We start from the raw sequence: 20,489 nt of genomic DNA on the forward strand, positions 1-20,489 counted from the left end.
AAAGATTATCATAGAACAGAAGGTAATTGCATGGTATTAATTTTAAATGCTGCCACTATGCACAGGCTAAGGAAGAACAAAGAAGGTTTTTGTTGTAAAGTCAGGTTTCAGGAAGTGATTTGGCTAAGATGTGGACCTAAAAGCTGGGTAATATCACTTACAGAAAATACCATTACAGAAAATACCGAAATAGTCACTATCCACAATTTAGAAGAAAAAAACCTAAAGTTATCCTTTGTCCCATGATAATCAAGCAGTTGTCATTTAGCTCCTTTCAAGGTAACAAGGGATTTCATAGAATATTATACTTCAATAGCACTTCATCAAAATTTCATTTACAGTAAATCTAATTATCTCATTTCTTTTTTTTTGAGACAGAGTCTCGCTCTTTCACCCAGGCCGGAATGCAGTGGCGCGATCTCCGCTCACTGCAAGCTCCGCCTCCTGGGTTCACACCATTCTCCTGCCTCAGCCCCCCGAGTAGCTGGGACTACAGGATTATCTCATTTCTTACAAAAGTTACCCATGGTGCTGAGAAAACTAGAAACTGGACTTTAGATGATGCTTGGTATTGTTCCTATTTATTTTTAAAACTTGATATTTCTTCAGAGAGTAAACTTTGACTGTTATATTATGACAACATGTCGGGTATCATCAATTTGAATTTTGTTAGATTCTTTTTTTTTTTAGAATCCCAAGATAAATTGCTCAGTTTTTATGCTTAGTTTAAATTTGAGAGCCTTAATATAACTTGTACAATTTAGTTTCACTGTATGTTTTGTTATTATTTGGGAGGTGAGGAGAGTTCATTTGCAGTACAATTTTAGCATAATTTATAATATAGTCAGTCAAAAAAACGCTTCACATGTATATATTTCTTCTTTATTTTAGGCTGTAGGTTATGTATTTTAAAACCAATTGTTAGATGTCCTGTTATACAGATTTACTTCTTCCTATTTGGTGATTTTTTGATGCATTAAAAAGAGAAAATTGTATAAACCTAATGACTATTGACAAGTGTTCAGAGAGATAAAAAAGATCTATAATTAGCACAATGGAAAGACTTCCAAATCCACACTCTTTTGACGTTTTCTCACCTGAAAAGTATTTATTGCAGTTTTACTGGTTGATTGGTTGTCATTTTCCTTTCAGTTGTGTTTCTATGCAGAAATTGCATGGAACTGAACAGGAACTGCATTACAATTGAAACTGTTTCTAATATTATTCACTAATGGGCAAATCCATTACTTTAGGTCCATTTCTTATACAAGGAAATGCAGTTACTCCGAGGACAATTCAGGTAAATAACTACCGCAGCATGGACCCAAGGGTAGCAGTAGAAAGTGGTGCTGCTCTAAGTTTCTCCTCTAGTGGATGCCAAAAGAAAACATTCTTATCACTGTGTACGTGCTAGGCATAATTGTTTTGATATGTGTTCAGCACAGGCTTAGGCAAAAGTCTTTCTATGTAAATCCAAACAGTAACTGTTGAATTACTCATTTAAACTTACGTGTTTCACAGCACAAGTTGTTAGTGAAAGGTTTCAACTTCTTATTTTAGACATTAAACAGATACCTCAAATGTTTGGGAATTCTTCGTTTACATCTCAGCAATGGAAATATTTAGCTTTTTTTTTTTTTTTTTTTTTTTTTTTTTTTTTTTTAGCTAGCCAAGAGTCCCTGTACAGTGAGCAATCTTTTGGGGTCTTATCTTCTCATCACTGAAGAATTTCTATGTGGACACTAAAGTAATATTAAAACCACTCACTCTCACTGGTAATTTACAGAATACAGTTTTAATTAACAGCAATATCGACAACAATAGCAATGATGAAACCTCTGAGGTGAAAGAGAATGTTAATTTTAGCAAAGAGTGTCTTGTCATCTGGACAAGGCTTACCAGTTCCTAGCCTCTAGTTTGTATACACTTATGCAATCATTTTGAATATTTACTCCCTGTATGCTGGTAGAAAAATAAGTGTCAGGACATTACATGTGAAGGAATAATTCAACATTTAAGTTTTTAAGAGTATATTCTTTTCAGATCTTGTTCCCCAAAGTTAAACATTGTGGTAGATTGAGACTTTCATTATTAAATATCTTACAGAAAACAAAGGAAATCGTAACGTCTTATTTACCATCATTAAGAGAAACCTGAAGGCCAATTACTTATTGAGTGGCAGGCAACTCAATTACATTATTGTATAGAATCCTCAGGACTGTATTAAAAAATTATGACAAGGAGTTTACACAGGTCAGCCTATAAAACTACTGCATAATTTCTATCTGTAAATTAAAATAGAAAAGAAATAAGATTGAAGTAAATATGATAATAGTAAATTTCATGTCTAAGTGTGCTAAACTAGCTGGCCTTTCCTATTCTTGAATAAAATTATTCTGGTTGCCATAATGCATCCCGAAGCTTACCTAGATGAGGAGAAATTCGAAGTATTCCAACGTCTGCGCTCATGAATAGATCAAGCCTTGGGGGAAACCAGTGATCTCTTGGCAACAGGACCAGAAGGTACGTAATCTCTTGTTTTGATTATATTTCATCTGCTGAAAAATTTGCTTATCTCTCTGAGATTTATCTTAGAGATAACTGAAAGTAATTTTGTGACCTTCACATTGTCCGTATTTAAGTTAGATAATTGAAAATTTGGTGAGGATCCCAAAACCTCAAGTATGTATGGAGATTAAGATTTCCAACTCTGAAGAAAAACTGTCAGGTTCAAATCTTGGTCCTGTTCACCTCTGATGACTAACTCTGTGGTTACAAAACCCTCTTGCCTCCCTTTATCCATCTGAAAAAAAAATTGGTATGACTACATAGTTTGGCAAGTGGGGGCTAACTGAGCTACTAGACAACTTACACAGTAAGTCGACACAAAGCACATGCACAATAAGCATAATTAATATTACATTATTTTATTTTGTATGAGGTGGCAACAAATAGTTATCACATGCTTAATTTTAAATAAGCATTAATAGTGGTAGAAATTAAGGAAATTTATATGTTAGAGAAAACTCTTAGAAATATGAAGGCTCTATCTAGTTATATTTGTTTCTTATGTATCACATCCTCAATTTTAAATAAAAAGCATTAATAATAGTAGAAATTAAGAAAATACATTTATTAGAGAAGTCTATTAGAAATATCAAGGCTTAATCTAATTATATTTGTTAACTGAACTTGAGACATATGAATATTCACATACTTTAAGATATTTTATCACCTATTTGAAGAGGGACTCTGGCCACTATAAGAACAACTCGCACATAGCAAAAACTAGTGATTGAATACATTCTAAAGAGTAACATACATTTTGAAAGTGAGCTGTTGTTGGCTGGGCATGGTGGCTCACACCTATAATCCCAGCACTTTGGGAGGCTGAGGCGGGCGGATCACGAGGTCAGGAGATTGAGACCATCCTGGCTAACATGATGAAACCCCGTCTCTACTAAAAAAAATACAAAAAATTACCCAGGCATGGTGGCGGACGCCTGTAGTCCCAGCTACTCGGGAGGCTGAGGCAGGAGAATGCTGTGAACCCGGAAGGTGGAGCTTGCAGTGAGCTGAGATCTCGCCAGTGCACTCCAGCCTGGGGGACAGAGCGAGACTCTGTCTCAAAAAAAAAAAAAAAATGAGCTGTAGTTATTGAACTTTTTATTATTACTTAATTACAAGAAAAAAACAAAGTAAACAACCAAAAAAATTATAGTGTTGAGAAAATGCCAAGGCTGCTCACCCACTTCTTTAACCATTCTTCAAAAAAGTGAGCTGTTGTTATTGAACTTTTTATTATTACTTAATTACAAGAAAAAACAAAGTAAACAACCAAAAAAATTATAGTGTTGAGAAAATGCCAAGGCTGTTCACCCACTTCTTTAACCATTCTTCAAATTTACCATATATATATTTTTTTGACTAAGTGAGATAAATCACATTGAAATGCATGAAATAATGTCTGGCATCCAGTAGATGCTCAGTGACATTTGTCCCCTTTAATGGTTTCAACTGGCTAGGATTTCCCACAAAGAACAGTAGCATTTTGGTATCACTAGGCTAATGTCCATTTTCTGTATTGGAGAGTAGAGAAACCCCTTGGGTGATAGCTTATTTTACCTACTATGGAATTTTTACAGAACAAAGTTAAGGGTCATCTGCTGTGTGGATTCCCACTGGTTATGTGAGACGTGGCAGAACATAATGGTAAGAAGAAGGATTCAGGAGCTGAACCATCTGGGTTCTTCAGGCTGTATCACCTACTGCCAATGAGAGGCTTAGCCAGTTAGTTACCTTTGTGAGCTTCCTCTGGTGAGGATCAGAAGAGTTAATACATAAGGCACCAATTATAATACTAACCCTGGGATGTAAAAAGGCTCAATTATTATTACTGGTTACCATTATTATTAAGAGTGTTAATAATAATTACTACAGCAATCTTTTCTAGACAAGGGAAAGTGAAGCAACTAATTAACCCTCAATGAAAAAAAGGTTTTTTTCACTGCTAAAGACTATTAACTCTGACATGAGTTTTAGAATAGTTTTGCTTTCTCTCTCTTTGCCTGTATTTTCTTTATTTTTTATTCTAATGTTTTTGATTTACCCAAGGATTTTGGTGCTAGATTGTGGTTCTGGTAGGCTGATCAAAGTTCATACCACAGGCAGTTAATTTTACCCAGATGACTCCTGGTTTCTTTCTTTTTTAAATAAATCATATCCACTGCCGAGGTTGATATGAGGACTTCTCTCCATTGGCAAGTAGCATTGTAGCCACAATCTCTTATTAAAGCTTGAAACAAAATGGTGATTACTAGTGTTTATGGCCAAATTTTGTTCATGCCTGCCCACTGAATTTGTTTGGATACCAGGAAATTATGGACTGTGTGATTCGAATTAGGATAAGAGATTAAACCCTGGTAGCCATTCTTTAGCAAAGACTGTGCTGTTAAAAAAAATGGAAAATATCTTTTTAACCAAGTCAGTGAAATTAGCTTAGTCATGAGGATTGCAAGTGAGCTTTCTGTACTTGAGATGTAAACACAGTGCCAAAAAGTTTCATCAGGAGACTGGGGAGAGATGCTGATTCTTATTATGTGAGAGATTTGTAATGCTAACTTAATCTTCTGACTGAACCCCTTAATTTCCCATTTTTAACTATTCTAGATGCTTGTCTCAGGAAATGGAAGAAATCTCTTCAATAATGTTACCAGAGACATGCCATGTCATTTCTATCTTCTCAATACAACTACTTAGTTTCTTTTTTCTTTCATTTTTGCATAATTTCCATAGCAACATGTACATGGTGACTACATTACATCAATCAGCACCTCCACTCCTGGTCCCAGTTTTTTCTTTGCTAATCCTCACTGCTGACTTTTGTTGTGGTTTCATTATCATTTCACAAGGTAACTACTGTCACCTTGGAAATGAAATGCATGGTCAAAGCCCTTTAATACACAAAATATGTAAAATCTCCTCTTATGCATATTATACATGAAAGAAGGATAAGACCATCAGTTAGTTGTGTCTCCTCTGTAGAAATAGCCAGAGCATCAGGACAGCTGCATCCTCTTTCACAGAAGTAGGAGAGCAGATGCTGAGGCAGGACACAATAGTTCTTCAGCCTGTGTTGCCTCCACTTGCATCCTAGAGCACTTGTTGAACTCTCTCTTAGGTAAATGGTAATATTTTCTGAAGGCACTAAGAGAATTTTTACCATGAGGGTAAATACCAATTAGCTATTATCTCCTTTTAGTAGGAGTGCAGCACAAAGAACTTCTGATTGACTGCTTTTCAGGGGCAGGGATAATTTGTTTGTTTGCTTGTTTATGTATTTATTTATGATTTTAGTCAGATTGCATTCTAAGACTTCAGCAAGATTTCAACGAACATTTTCCTATTTTTTCTTTTTCTTTCTTTCTTTTTTTTTTGAGACAGAGTCTGGCTCTGTCGCCCAGGCTGGAGTGCAGTGGTGCGACCTCGGCTCACTGCAAGCTCCACCTCCCAGGTTCACGCCATTCTCCTGCCTCAGCCTCCCGAGTAGCTGGGACTACAGGTGCCCGCCACCACACCTGGCTAATTTTTTGTATTTTTTTTTTTAAGTAGAGATGGGGTTTCACCTTGTTGGCCAGGATGGTCTCAATCTCCTGACCTTGTGATCTGCCCACCTCGGCCTCCCAAACATTTTCCTATTTAAGCCTTGCCACTGAAAATTTTCTGTCTTTAAGTCCCACATAACAACTGCAGCCTGTAACATCTTGTTGACTGGCTTGACAGAGGATGGCCAATTTTTGTGTTTAGGCTCAGATGTGCAGTGCTGGGTTCTCAAATTGTGTCCCAGCCTGGGACACTGTGGCTTTAATAACATCCTCATTATCCATCCTTTATATAAAAAACCTTATATCTGTATGCAAAGCCATGGACTCTTAAGATTTTGAGTGCATCATACATGCTACAGGCAGCAGAAGCTATATGAAGGATGTGCTTTCAGGCCAATCCCTGCCTAGTGTAGGCCCAGGTGGTATAATGCTTCATAACAGACCCCATTCCCTGGGCAAAGACATTGTGAATGGTGGGATTAGTATCCTCCTGTGACACATGACATCCTCCTGTGACCTACTCACTATGATTTGGATGGCTCCCCTCAAGTTTGGGCTAGAGTGTCAGTGAGTGGATTAACTCAGGACAATTCCAGTTCTTTCTATGTACCTTCCTTTCATCATGAGGGATATGAAGAAAACATTAGATCATGTTGGATGCTGTTTGTCTGTTGGTTGGTTGGTTGGTTAGGTTTAACAATAAGAGCACGTATCTAGTCTTCTAGTTTTGTAAGGCTGCCATAATAATTTACATCCAAGCTGGTGACTTAAAACAACAGATATTTATTCTCTCACAGTTGTAGAAACCAGAAATTTGGAATCAAAGTGTCAGAGGACCATGTTCCTTCCAAAAGCCCTAGGGAAAAATTTTAATTCTTCCTTGCCTCTTCCAGCTTTTGGTGGCCCCAGGCATTGCTTGGCTGATGGCAGCATAACTCCAGTCTCTACTTTTGTCTTCATATGTCATTATTCCCTATATTTCTTTGTATTCTCCTTTTCTGTCTCTTATAAGGACACTCATTGGTGGATTTCATGCTTATCTCAATCCAGCATGACCTCAGATTGAGATGCTAACCTTAATTACATCTACAAAGATTCTTATGCCAAATAAAGTTACTTTCTGAGATTCCAGTTGAACATATCTTTGGAGATCCACTGTTGAACCTACTATGCCTAAAAACTCAGGCCTGTCCCAAGGGCAGATTTAAAAAGAAAGAGAAATTCATTTTGCTTTCTGATTTTGAGATTGTTCCTCTTACCCCTACTCCATTTTCAACACCTGAACTTTATCAAGAAAACTCAAAGACAAAATGTGGCCAAGGTTGGCAATAAATACATTTTTGCCAATAATCTGATGGAAAACTTATGTTACTTCTTGTAAATCAAAATAAATTGGATCTGCTGGCAATCTGATTAACCTGCAATTTAGATTATGACAATGGTGTTCTTATTTTATGCATTTTCACATGCTCCAAATCTCCTTCTGTATCTCTTTCTAAAATTTTGCTGAGAGTCCATCCTTTCTGACCAAAGGTTATTTCATTCTCCACTAAAGTAGTTATTAAAAATATCTTCTGGTAGATAAGGAAAAAGTGGCTCATGTATACCACTGGAATTCTACACAGCCATAAAAAAGAACCAAATTAGGTTATTTGCAGCAAAATGGATGCATATGGAGGCCATTATCCTAAGCAAGATAACATGGAAACAGAACCAAATACTGCATGTTCTCACTTATAAGCAGGAGCTAACTATTGTGTATTCATGGTCATAATGGTGGAAAGGATAGTCACTGGGACTACTAGAGGATGGAAAGAGGGTGAGAGGCAAGGGCCAAAAAACTATTTTTTGGATCTTATGCCCACTACCTCGGTGAAAGATTGATTCATACTCTAAACCTCAACATCACTCAATATACCTTTGCAGCTAACCTGCATGCATACCCCCAATTCTAAAATAAAAGTTGAAAAAAAAAGCTTAGAAAAGAATTGAAGGAAATACAAAAATAAGTTACCATGACCACCTCTTGATGGTGAGTATGGGTAATTTTTGTTGGTTTATATTGACCCCCTATTTAGCAAAATTCCTGAAATGATCACATTAATGGGAAAATATAGTTTTCAGTTCCAAGAAAGGTTTGCTTGATTTATGTTTAAAAACAAATGATTCAACGGCTCTTTTCACAGACTTGATGGTGATTTGGGAGAAAATCCAGAAATTGGTGACCTATTATGAGTTCATAATTAGGCCCATTATTTCTGATAAAACATTTCAGTAGCATTAAAATGCTAAGCTGAACTAAGATGTTCATGAAATGTATTCAAATAAACAAACCCAATTTAAAGATGATTGTATAAAAATATCTTACTTGATAATATAAATGCAAAATTTGTGAATGTTTATTTATAGTTCCTGTAATTTGGGGAAATTAAAGTCACTTGGGAACAATATTTACTTCACTAGCAACCAAAGGAGTACAATTGAAAAATAATGACTTGAAAATAAAATAAAAGTAAAAAAGGACTTCATTTCTTTTCACACAGTCTGAAAGAGTGAGTGCACAAGCTTTTCTCTGCCCAACTCCTCTTTGTCCACAAGGAATTTTCAGAATTCCTCCGTGTCTGTCTTATAATTTCATTCCTTGCTCATATAAGCAAGTTGGTTCAGAAACCCTAAGACTGTTATACCGTCAGTTGGGTTAGTTTAAAATAACCCCTATGAGCAGTTCAACACTGAATTGGCAATGCTTTGGAAAGCAGAGACCCTGTCAGCTAACCAGCCATCCTTTAAAATCAATTCATATTTTCACAGTCCCTGGGGATTGTTTCACAGGGCTAAAATTTCGCTGTTGGAACAGGGTTGCTTGAAGATAACAGGGACACTTGAAGGTAAGGATGTCAATATTTTGCTGTTTCTGAATGTCATTCATTCACAGATGGCTTAAGACATTTGCAATTCCTTCAAAGATGGCATAAGAAATTTGGATTTTCAAACTTTAGTTTTCTCATCTTAGAGTTTGAGGTAATTTTATTTGTCAGCTGCCAGAAAATAAAAAGAACACATACGGTAGCAGACTAATATCTACATTGACCTATTGTAGAGCCAGAAGGACCCATTTATTTAGCAAGAGACTTCTTTACTGTGTCTAGTTCAGGTTCCCGGAAAGATGGGACTATTCGTAGTAACACTCATTCCTTCTGCTAAGGGTCATAAGATAGGTTTAGACATATGGTCCCATTTTGATGATGTTTTAAACTTTGTTTATTTTACATACCCTGTGATAGAGCCAATCAAGTAGGGGCCTAAACGTCGGTATAGCCTGTAATTTTGACAGATGCCCAGATTGTGGTATTGACAAATAGGACAGATGTCCCGAGGGGCATATGTGTAGAAATAGATGACATTTCACAGAGAATTTACTAATTCAATATAATGCTGAAACAACATGTGGTAGTAGTTGAACCCATATATAGAATACATTTGGGGAAATTTTTCTCACATATTTGACGTGGTGCCCAGAACTATATGATGTGAAGAGTAATTGTGTGTTTTGTATGGGAACACATTAGTAAAACCTCATGCAAATCAAAATCAATCCAGATGAAAAATAATTAATAACGGTGTTTACAAACTCAAATAATACCTGCACAAGGCAATGGCATAAACAAAGTTTACAATGCCTCCAGATGGCAATATTTGAAAGATGATTTCGAGTTTTACACACAAATCGAGAATTTATTCATATAACATATGGAGTTAACTAAAATCCATATAATTCAAATTAGCTTACATTGTAACTAAATGGAATGGAAAAGGAGTTCCTGTTCATTTTACCACTTTCAGAATAGAAAATTCTGGATCTGGTGAAAATTGATCATTTTCCTTTTGTTTTAATTCAAGGTATAGACTCGTGTCTAAAGACATGGTTAACTGTTTAAGGAGAATAGAAGATGAAGAAGGGTTAAATGACAAGCAAGTTTTAAAAGTCTGATATCAACTAATTTTTAGGCAAGGAAGATTTAAAAATTTCACTGTGATTTGAGTGAGAGGCCCCTTACTTTTTATATTACATTGTAAGTTTAAAGAAGAAGAGAATAAAAACATCATGGCTAAATCACCTGTAATGACTTCAAATTTTCTACAAATGATAAACATATCCAATGTGATAATTATAATTCAAGGCCCATTTTAATCTGACCCTAAATTTTCTTTCCCATTCTAATAATCAATAAGCTAATCAATAAGCTCATAACATCCTACAGATTCTGCACACACACATGCACACACACACAGAGAAACACAGTCACTTCTTCAAACACATTGTTTTTTCATTTTTCTTTGCCTTTCATCTATTTATTTATTAGAGTGCCCACCTCCAAGGTAAGAGGGTTATTGAGATAATTTTATAAATGTCATGGGGCTTGCCCTCATAAAGTCTATATCACAGAAAGGAAGTTGAGAAGAAACAACCAATGGTTCAATTACTTATTAAAATTAGTTTTGATCATTATCTCTCTATCCACTGTTAATCTACTTATAATCTTCTTTGCTCTTTACCATGTTTAATGAACTCTTAGACTTTTAACTTTTATTTTAAGTTCACGAGTACAAGTGCAGGTTTGATACATTGGTAAATTTGTGTCTTGGGGGTTTATTGTACAGATTATTTCATCACCCTGGTATTAAGCCTAATACCCATTAGTTATTTTTCCTGATCCTCTCCCTCTACCCTCTAGCCTGTGAAAAGCCCCATGGATGTTGTTACCCTCTGTGTCCATATGTGCTCATCATTTAGCTCCCACTTATAAGTGAGAACATGTGGTATTTGGTTTTCTGTCTCTGCATTAGTTGGCTAAGGATAATGGCCTCCAGCTCCATAATGTCCCTAAAAAGGACATGATCTCATTCTTTTTACGGCTGCATAGTATTCCATGATGAATATGTACCATATTTTCTTTATCCAGTCTATCACTGATGGGCATTTAGATTGATTCCATGTCTTTGCTTTGTGAATAGTACTGCAATGAAGATATGAATGCATGTGTCTTTATAATAGAGTAATTTATATTCCTTTGGGTATTGATAAGGTTTGGCTGTTACCCCACCCAAACCTCATCTTGAATTATAGCTCCCGTAATTCCCATGTGTCATGAGAGGGACCCAGTGGGAGATAATTGAACCATGGGGGCAGGTCTTTCCCATGCTGTTCTCCTGATAGTGAATAGATCTCATGAGATCCGATGGTTTTATAAATGGGAGTTGCCCTGCACAAGTTAACAAGTTCTCTCTTGCCTGCCTCCATGTAAGATGTGACTTTGATCCTCATTCTCTTTCTGCCATGATTGTGAGGCCTCCCCAGCCATGTGGAACTGTGAGTCCATTAAACCTCTTTTCTTTATAATTTACCCAGTCTCAGATACATCTTTATTAACAGCATAAGAACAGACTAGTACAGGTAATGGGATTACTGGGTTGAGTGGTATTCCATTCTTTAGGTCTTTGAAGAATTACCACCCTGTCTTCCACAATGGATGAACTAATTTACACTCCCATCAACTGTGTATAAGCATCCCTTTTTCTCTACAACTTTGCCAGCGTCTTTCATTTTTTTATTTTTGATAATAGCCATTCTGACTGGTGTTAGTATCTCATTGTGGTTTTGATTTGCATTTCTCAGAGTCTAAAATCTAGAATTAAAACTTTTAACTTGGTGAGCCTATGTTGAATGACTACAGAGAACCTAGATAAGCAATTTTCATTTGCATTTTATCCAAAACAGGTGGCAAGAAGAAAAGTTTAAGAATTTCAAGTGGCTTGATTGGACTCTTCTTCATGGTCGCTGAGTCAAGGACCTTCTCTTCTAGTGAATTTAAGGGTTTTGTGGAACACTAGTCTTTCTTTATGAACTCTGTCCTCTTTTCTCATACAATTTATCTTTTCCACATATGGATGGAATAAAACTGCAGAAAATATAATGAAATGGATAACCATATATTTTTTAAAATAGAAATTTTTGAGTATTGACATTCAAGGTTTTAATTCTAGATTTAAAAATACATTTTATTTACACACTCATCAGTTAATGGATGCTTAAATTATTTTCACTTTTGGTCTATTATGAATAATGCTACTATGAACATTAATGTATAAGTATTTGTGTGAACAAATAGAACAGACATGGTCAGTTCTCTTGGGTATATTCCTACAAGTAGAATTTCTGGGTCATATGGCAGCTCTATGTTTCATTTTATGCAGAATTTCTAAACTGTTTTTCAAAGAAACTGTTTTACATTCTGAGAAGCAATGTATGAGAGTTCTAATTCTTTTACATCCTCAGCAACACTTGTTATTATCTGTCTTTTTTATTATAGTTATTCTGGTATTTGTGAAGTTTCATCTCATTATGATTGTGATTTGCATTTCCCTAATGGCTAATAACAGTCAGCATATTTTCATGTGCCTATTGGCCATTTGTATATCTTCCTTGGCGTAAAGTCTTTCAAATTACTTGCTCATTTTTTAATTGAGTTATTTGTCTTTTGATTTTTAGTTGCAACAGTTCTTTATATATTATGCATAAGTCCTTATCAGACATACAATATGAAAATATTTTGGTTCCTGCTATACATTGGTTTTCCCCTTTATAAGTGGTGTATTTTGTAGATCAAAAGCCTTTAATTTTAATGAAGTCCAATTTAACAATATTTTTCTCGTGTTGCTTGTGTTTTAAGTGTCATATTTTTTGTTAAGTGTCATAGGTTTTTTAATATGAATGAGTGTTGGATTTTCTCCAAAGATTTTCCTACAACTATTGTCATGATAATCCTTTTTGATCCTTTATTTTATTAATATACATATTTTATTAATTGATTTTCCGTTGTTGAAGCATATTTGTGTATCTGGGATAAATCCTACTTGGTCATGTTGTGTAATCCTATTTAAAGTTATTGGGTTTAGTTTGCTAGTAATTGATTGAGGATTTTTTTTCTTTGCTTTGTATTTATAAGGAATATCAGAATTTTTTTCAATATTTATTTTAGATTCATGGGGCATATGTGCTGCTTTGTTACTTGGATATATTGTCTGATGCTAAGGTTTGGGGTATAAGTGATCCCATTTACCAAGGTACTAAACATAGTACACAAAAGCAGGTTTTTCAACCCTTGCCTCTACTCCTCCTTCACTCCACCTGCTAGCTGTACCCAGTGTCTATTGTTGCCATCTTTATGTTTATGAGTGCCTAATATTTAGCTCCAATTTATAATTGAGAAAAGACTGTATTTAGTTTTCTGTTACTGCATTAATCTGCTTAGGATAATGGCCTCCAGCTACATCTGTGTTGCTGCAAAGGACATGATTTTGTTCTTTTTATGGCTGTGTAGTGTTCCATCATGTATATTTGCCATGTTTTCTTTATCCATTCCACCATTAATGGGCACCTAGGTTGATTTCATGGCTGCTATTGTGAATAGGACTGCGAGGCACATATGAGAGCCTATGTATTCTTGCTAAAACAATTTGTTTTCTTTTAGATACATAACCAGTAATGGGATTGCTGGGTCAAATTGTAGTTCCCTTTTAAAGTCTTTAAAAAATCTCCAAACTACTTTCCATAGTGGCTGAACTAATTTAGATTTCCACTGAAAGTGTTCAAGCATTCCCTTTTCTCCATAGCCTTGCCAGCATCTGTTATTTTTTGATGTTTTAATAATATCCATTCTGACTGATGTGAGATGGAACCTCATTGCAGTGATTTGCATTTCTCTGATGATTAGTGATGTGGATAATTTTTTATATGTTTGCAAACCACTTTTATGTCTTCTTCTGAGAGGTGTCTATTCATGTCTTTTGTTCACTTGTATTCATGTTATTTGTCTTATGCTTATTAATTTGTTTAATTTTCTTATAGATTTGGGGTATTGGGACCTTTATTGGAAGTGTAGTTTGTGAGTATTTTATCTCATTCTGTAGGTTGCCTGTTTTCTCTGTTGATAATTTCTTTTGCTGTGTAGAGCTCTTTAATTTAATTAGATCCCACTTGTCAATTTTTGTTTTGGTTGCAATTGCTTTTGAGGACTTAGTCATAAATTATTTCCCAAGGCCAATGTCCAGAATGGCGTTTCCTAGGATTCTTGTAGTTTGAGGTCTTGTGTTTAAATCTTTAATCCAACCTCAGTTAATTTTTTTATATGGTGAAAGGTGGGGTTGAGTTTCATTCTTCTACATATGGCTACCCAACTAGCCCACACTGTTTATTGAATACGGAGTAGTCTTTTCCCTGTTGGTTATTTTTCTTAACTTTGTTAAAGATCAGATATCTGTAGGTGTGCAGCTTTATTTCTGGGTTCTCTGTTCCGTTCCATTGGTCTATGTGTCTGTTTTTGTACCAGTACCATGCCGTTCTGGCACCAGTACCATGCTATTTTGGTTACCGTCACCTGATAGTATATTTGGAAGTCAGCAAACATGATGCCTCTGGCTTTGTTCTTTGTGATTAAGATTACTTTGGCTATTTTGGCTGTTTGGAGTTTCATATGAATTATTAAATAGTTTTTTTCTGGTTTTATAGAAAAAAAACAACATGGTAGTTTGGAACTTCCTAGAGACTTATTGAATGGCTCTGACCAAAATACTGATAGTGATATGGACAATAAAGTCCAGGCTGAAGTGGTCTCAGATGGAGATGAGGAACTTGTTGGGAACTGAAGCAAAGGTGACTCTTGTTGTACTTTAGCAAAGAGACTGGCAGCATTTTTCCCCTGCCCTAAAGATTTGTGGAACTTTGAACTTGAGAGAGATGATTTAGGGCATCTGGTGCAATAAATTTCTAAGGAGCAAAGCATTCAAGAAGTGACTTGGGTACTGTTAAAAACATTCAGTTTTATTTATTCAGAAAGGTATGGTTTGGAGTTGAAATTTATGTTTAAAAGGGAAGCAGATCATACAAGTTTGGTAAATTTGTAGCCTGATGATGTGATAGAAAAGAAAAACCCATTTTCTGAGGAGAAATTCAAGCTGGCTGCAGAAATTTGCATAAACAATAAGGAGTCAAATGTTAATCATGAAGACAATGGGGAAAATATCTCCAGGGCATGTCAGAGGTCTTTATGGCAGCCCCTCCCATCACAGGCCCAGAGGCCTAGGAGGAAAAATGGCTTCATAGGTTGGGTCCAGGGCCTTGCTGCTTTGAGCACTCTCCAAACTTGCTCCCCTGCATCCCAGCTGTGGCTAAGAGGAGCCAGTGTATAGATCAGGTCATTGCTTCAGAGGGTGAAAGTCTCAAGTCTTGGCAGCTTACATGTGGCTTTGGGCCTCCAGGTACACAGAAATCAAGAATTGAGGTATGAGAACCTCCACATAGATTTCAGAGAATTTGTGGAAATGTCTGGATGTCCAGGCAGAGGTGTGCTGCAGGGGCAGAGTCCTCATGGAAAACTTCTGTTAGCACAGAGTGGAAGGGAATTGTGGAGTCAAGCACCCTCTGGGGCACTGCCTGGTGGAGCTGTGAGAAGAGGGCCACCATCGTCCAGACTCCAGAATGGTAGATCCACTGACAACATGCACCATGCACCTGGAAAAGCTGCAGACACTCAATGCCAGCTCATGAAAGCAGCCAGAAAGGGAGCTGTACCCTGTAAAGACACAGAGGCAGAGCTGCCCAAGGTCATGGGTGCCTACCTCTTGCATCAGTGAGACCTCGATGTGAGACATGAAGACAAAGGGGATCATTTTGGAGCTTTAAGATTTGACTGCTCTGCTGGATTTTGGATTTCTATGGGGCCTGTAGCCTCTTCATTTTGCCAATTTTTCCCATCTGGAATGGCTGTATTTATGCAATGCCTGTATCTCCATTGTATCTAGGAAGTAACTAACTTGCTTTTGATTTTACAGGCTCATAGGCAGAAGGGACTTGCCTTGTCTTAGATGAGACTTTGGACTGTGGACTTTTGAGTTAATGCTGAAATGAGTTAAGATTTTGGAGGACTGTTGGGAAAGCATGATTGGTTTTGAAATGTGAGGATATGAGATTTGGGAGGGGCCATGGGTGGAATGATATGATTTGCCTGTGTCCCCACTCAGATCTCATCCAGAATTTTAGCTCTCACAATCCCCATGTGTTGTGGGAGGAACCCAGTGGGAGGTAATTGAATCATGGAGGTGGGTCTTTCCCATGCTGTTCTTGTGATAGTAAATAAGTCTCATGACTCATGAGGTCTGATGGTTTGATAAAGGGGAGTTCCCCTGCACACACTCTTTCTTGCCTGCTGCCACGTAAGACGTGTTTGCTTCTCCTTTGCTTTCCACCATGATTGTGAGGCCTCCCCAGCCATGTGGATCTGTGAGTCAATTAAACCTCTTACCTTTATAAATTACCCAGTCCCAAGTATGTCTTTATTAGCAGCCTGAGAACAGACTAATACAACAGGATTGTGGGAATTTCTCCAGGCATTCAGAGCACCCACCTTCCTGAATTAGGAGTAGGGAAACCAACTGCACCAAGATCTCTGCACAGAAGAGGTGGGGTGATTCAGGCTGCTGAACCAGGCAAGCAGAAGCTTGGAATGCCTGGAGATCTACCTGAGCATGTAGCAGCAAAGGCCCCTGCACCAAGACCTCTACCCAGGAAGAGTGGGGCATATCAAGCTGCTGATCCAGGCAAGTTGGTGCTCTGAATGTCTGGAGGTCTGCCTGAGTGTGGAGTAGAGAGGGCCATTCTGTACCATCATCTATGTCCAGGAAGGTTGGGTGGCTCCGGCTGCTGAACCAGAAGAACAGGTGCTTTAACTGCCTGGAGATCTGCCCAGGCATGAAGTAGAGAAGGCCTCCCTGCACCAGTAGCTCTGAACAGAAAGAATAGTGGTGAGTCAGGCTGCTGATTCAAGTGAGTAAATGTCTGGAGGCCTGCCTGGGTATGGAGCAGAGAAAGCCCTACTGCACCAGGATCTCTGTACAGGAAGGGTGGAGCAGGTTAGGCTCTGAACCCAGTGAACAGATGCTCCTAATGCCTGGAGATCTGCCTTGGCATAAAGTGTAGGGGGCTGCTCTGCACCACAATCTATGTTCATGAAGAGTTGAGTGGCTAAGGCTGCTAGTCCAGGAAAGCGGCTGCGCCAAATGCCTGAATTTTTGCCTGGGGTTTGAGCAGAAGACCTCACTGCACTATTATCTTGGTAGAGCAGATGGAGACATCTAGAAATGGCACACACAGACCAATTCCAGGTCACTAGGCTGGCCTTGGCTGCAAATCTCACCACCCAGAAGAAACTGCAGCTGTAGCAGCACTCCTCCTGCCCCAGGCTTGTGACAAGGGAAAGCACAATTTCAGTGTCTGCTCTGGATGTGCTTTCCATAGCTCTCGTTGTGGAGGCCCTTATCCCACTCTAGAGCAGGCCCCCCCAATCTCTGCCTCAAGAATAAAATTCCTGAGTGGTCATGCTGCCAAGTTGCCAAAGAATGCCTGACTTTGTATGCCTGGATTAAAAATGGTATGCTGTTCTTTGTCCCAGGTCTGGGAAAATGTCTGCAGCTTTTCCCAGTGTCTTTCCCTCACAACATCTCCAAGCCTCTCCCCATGCTGGCTCTAGGGCTTGGGAGAAAGACAGTGCTGTTTCTCGACCTGGGTCCCTTGAGTTCCCACTGGAAAAATGAGTCACATAGGGAGGCTCTCTGCTTCTCTCATATCCTCCTGGAGCTTCAGTCATGTTTACCAGACAGATACCATCATACGGACTGTCTGTCAGTGTTCTTTCTCCTCCACAGGATCTGGAGTGCCCTTCACAATTCTGATGGTTTCCCAGTTTCTTCTTGAACTAAAGCTCACAGAGTTGAACTTTATGCACTATCTTACTACTTCCAAGTGGCTGAGGCATCATAAAAGCTTCTAATCTGCCACCTTGGGAAAAACAAATAGGGATTCTTAATTTGTTTTACTTGTGACATATTTGTCTGGTTTTACTAGTCTTATAAAAAGACTTGGAAAATAATCCCTCCTTTTCTATTTTTTGAGTGTGTTTGTGAAGAATTAGTGTAAACTCTTCTAAACATTTGGTAGAATGTATCAGTAAAGCCATCTATTCTAGGGATTATGTGTGTATTGGTGGAGGGAAATTTTATATTGCCTACTTTATTTCTTCCTTCATGTATTTTGGGATTCTCTTGACAGGTGCATATGTGCTTATTGTTATGTTTTCTTGATGTATTAATCCTTTCTATCATTGTAAAATGCTCTTTCTCGCTAATCACAATTTATCTCTTGAAGTTTGTTTTGTGTGTTATTATGACCAGGTCTCTCTTGATTACTGTTTGAATGATTTATCTTAATTCAGTCATTTGTATTCAAACTGTTTGTGTCTTTGAATATAAAGTGTGTCTGCTGACTAAAACAGATAGTTGGATTATGTTTTTTTCTAAACCCATCTGCAAACTCTATTTTAAATGGAGTTTTTAATCTACGTACATTTAATGTAATTACTGATATATAGAATTTATGTTTGCCAGTTTACCAGTTGTTTTCTATATGTCTTCTGCTTTTTTATTTCTCTATTTTTCTAAGATTGCCTTTTCTTTAGTGAATAGATATTTTTAATGCACTGTATTAATCCCCTTATCACTGATTTTATTATATTTTGTAAGTTATTTTCTTAGGGTTGCCTGATGGGCTACAAGTAGTATCTTAATTTTTGAAAATCTAGTTAGATTTACTATCAACTTAATTTTAATAGCATACAAAAATTTTGATTCTAAATAGCATTGTTCTCTCCTTCTTCCTTTGTTGTATTACCATACATATTACATCTTCATTCATTGTATGCCAATCAGTACATTACTTATAACCATTGCTTTATGCAGTTTATTTTTGAATCAGGTAGGAGAAAAGAAAATAGTTACAAAAAATACATTTACATTCTCTTTCATATGTTTCTAATTTTTGCTTTTTCTATTGTTCTGCATTTGTTTATATGGACTCTAGATATTGTCAAGTGTAATTTTATTTCATATTGAAATACCTCTTTTAATATTTCTTGCATGGAAACTTTGCTAGTAAGAGATTCTGTCAGTTTTGGTTTCAGAGAATAAGTGAGAATATTTTCACTTCTTTTTCATTTTTGAAGTATAGTTTTGTTGGTTATGAAATTATTCGTTGATAATCATTTACTTTCAAAACTTTAAAAATGTCATCTCACTGCCTCTGGTTTCCATGGTTTCTAATGAAAATTCAGTGAAAAATTATTCAGACTCTTTTGCACATGATGAGTTCCTCCTCTCTTGTTGTTTTCAAGATTCTTTCTTTGTCATTTTCTTTTGATTGTTTAATTATAATTTTTTAAAAATGTGAATCTCTTTGAGTTTATGCTACTTGGGAGTCATAGATCTTCTTGGATGTGCAAGTTAATATTCTTTGTCAAGTTTTGGAAGTTTTTAAGTATGTTTTGTATTGTTCTTCACATATTTTTATGCCCCATTTCTCTTCTGTTCCCTCTCCTTTTGGGACTTCCATTATACATATTTTGCTATGCTTGATGGTATCTCTGAGTCTGTTTGTCTTTATTTCTTTTTCCTTCTGTTTCTTGCATTAGATAATCTCATTGATCTATATTTAAGTTAGCTAACTCTTTTCCCTGCTTTCTAAAATCTGCTGTTAAGTCAGATTTATATTTATACAATTGCTTATTAGTATTATTTATTTGGTGAGACATTTATTCTCAAATGTTCCTTTAGCTTTTTGGAAATAGCTTATTTTAGTTATTAAACAAATTTTTATCATGGTGAATTTAAAAACCTTTGTTTACTAAGCCAAACACCTGAGGTTTCTCATGGACAGTTTTATTGATTGTGTGTTTTTCCTGTGTGTGAGCCATATTGTCTTACTTTTTGTATGCCTTATAAGTTTTTGTTGAAAACTGAACATTTTAAATAATAAAAATGTGACAACTCTGGAAATTATATTTTACTCCCTTCAAATTTTGTTGATTTTGCTGTTTGTTTTTGTTGTCATTTGTTTCTTTAGTGAATTTTCTGAACTAATTGTTTAAAGTTTTTGTTTTTTATCGTGTTTGAACACTGAAGTCTCTGTTTGCTTAACTTAGTAGTCAGTGAAAGAATAGACAGAAATTTCATTAAAGACCTGGAACCCGTAACTCTTCCGGTCTCTGCTGAGTGGCTCTGTGTGCATTTCAGGGCACACTTTTAACACCCAGCCGGTTGGTTGACAACTCTGCCTTAGTCTTCACATTCTGCTTTCCCATAGCTTCATGGTCATCTGGAGGTGAAAGCTTAGGGCCTTCTCATATTTTCCTTGAGAATAAGCATTGTGCTTAGAATGTGCACAATCATACGTGTGTGACCTTTTATAGTGCCAGTAATATGTCAGAAGTCTTCAAAACT

The 20,489-nt window shown here is 36.8% G+C and overlaps 1 long non-coding RNA gene across 1 annotated transcript; it reads left to right on the plus strand.

The window, feature by feature from the left end:
* Nucleotides 1-473: 473 nt before the first annotated feature.
* LINC00349 (long intergenic non-protein coding RNA 349) lies at nucleotides 474-12,808 on the plus strand. The gene is made up of 4 exons (NR_046987.1): nucleotides 474-568; nucleotides 1,254-1,300; nucleotides 2,422-2,523; nucleotides 11,884-12,808. It is a non-coding gene; the product is annotated as a long intergenic non-protein coding RNA 349 (long non-coding RNA).
* The last annotated feature ends 7,681 nt before the right edge of the window (nucleotides 12,809-20,489 follow it).

The sequence above is a fragment of the Homo sapiens genome, chromosome 13 (genome assembly GCF_000001405.40).
Source record: "Homo sapiens chromosome 13, GRCh38.p14 Primary Assembly".
Lineage (NCBI taxonomy): Eukaryota > Metazoa > Chordata > Mammalia > Primates > Hominidae > Homo > Homo sapiens.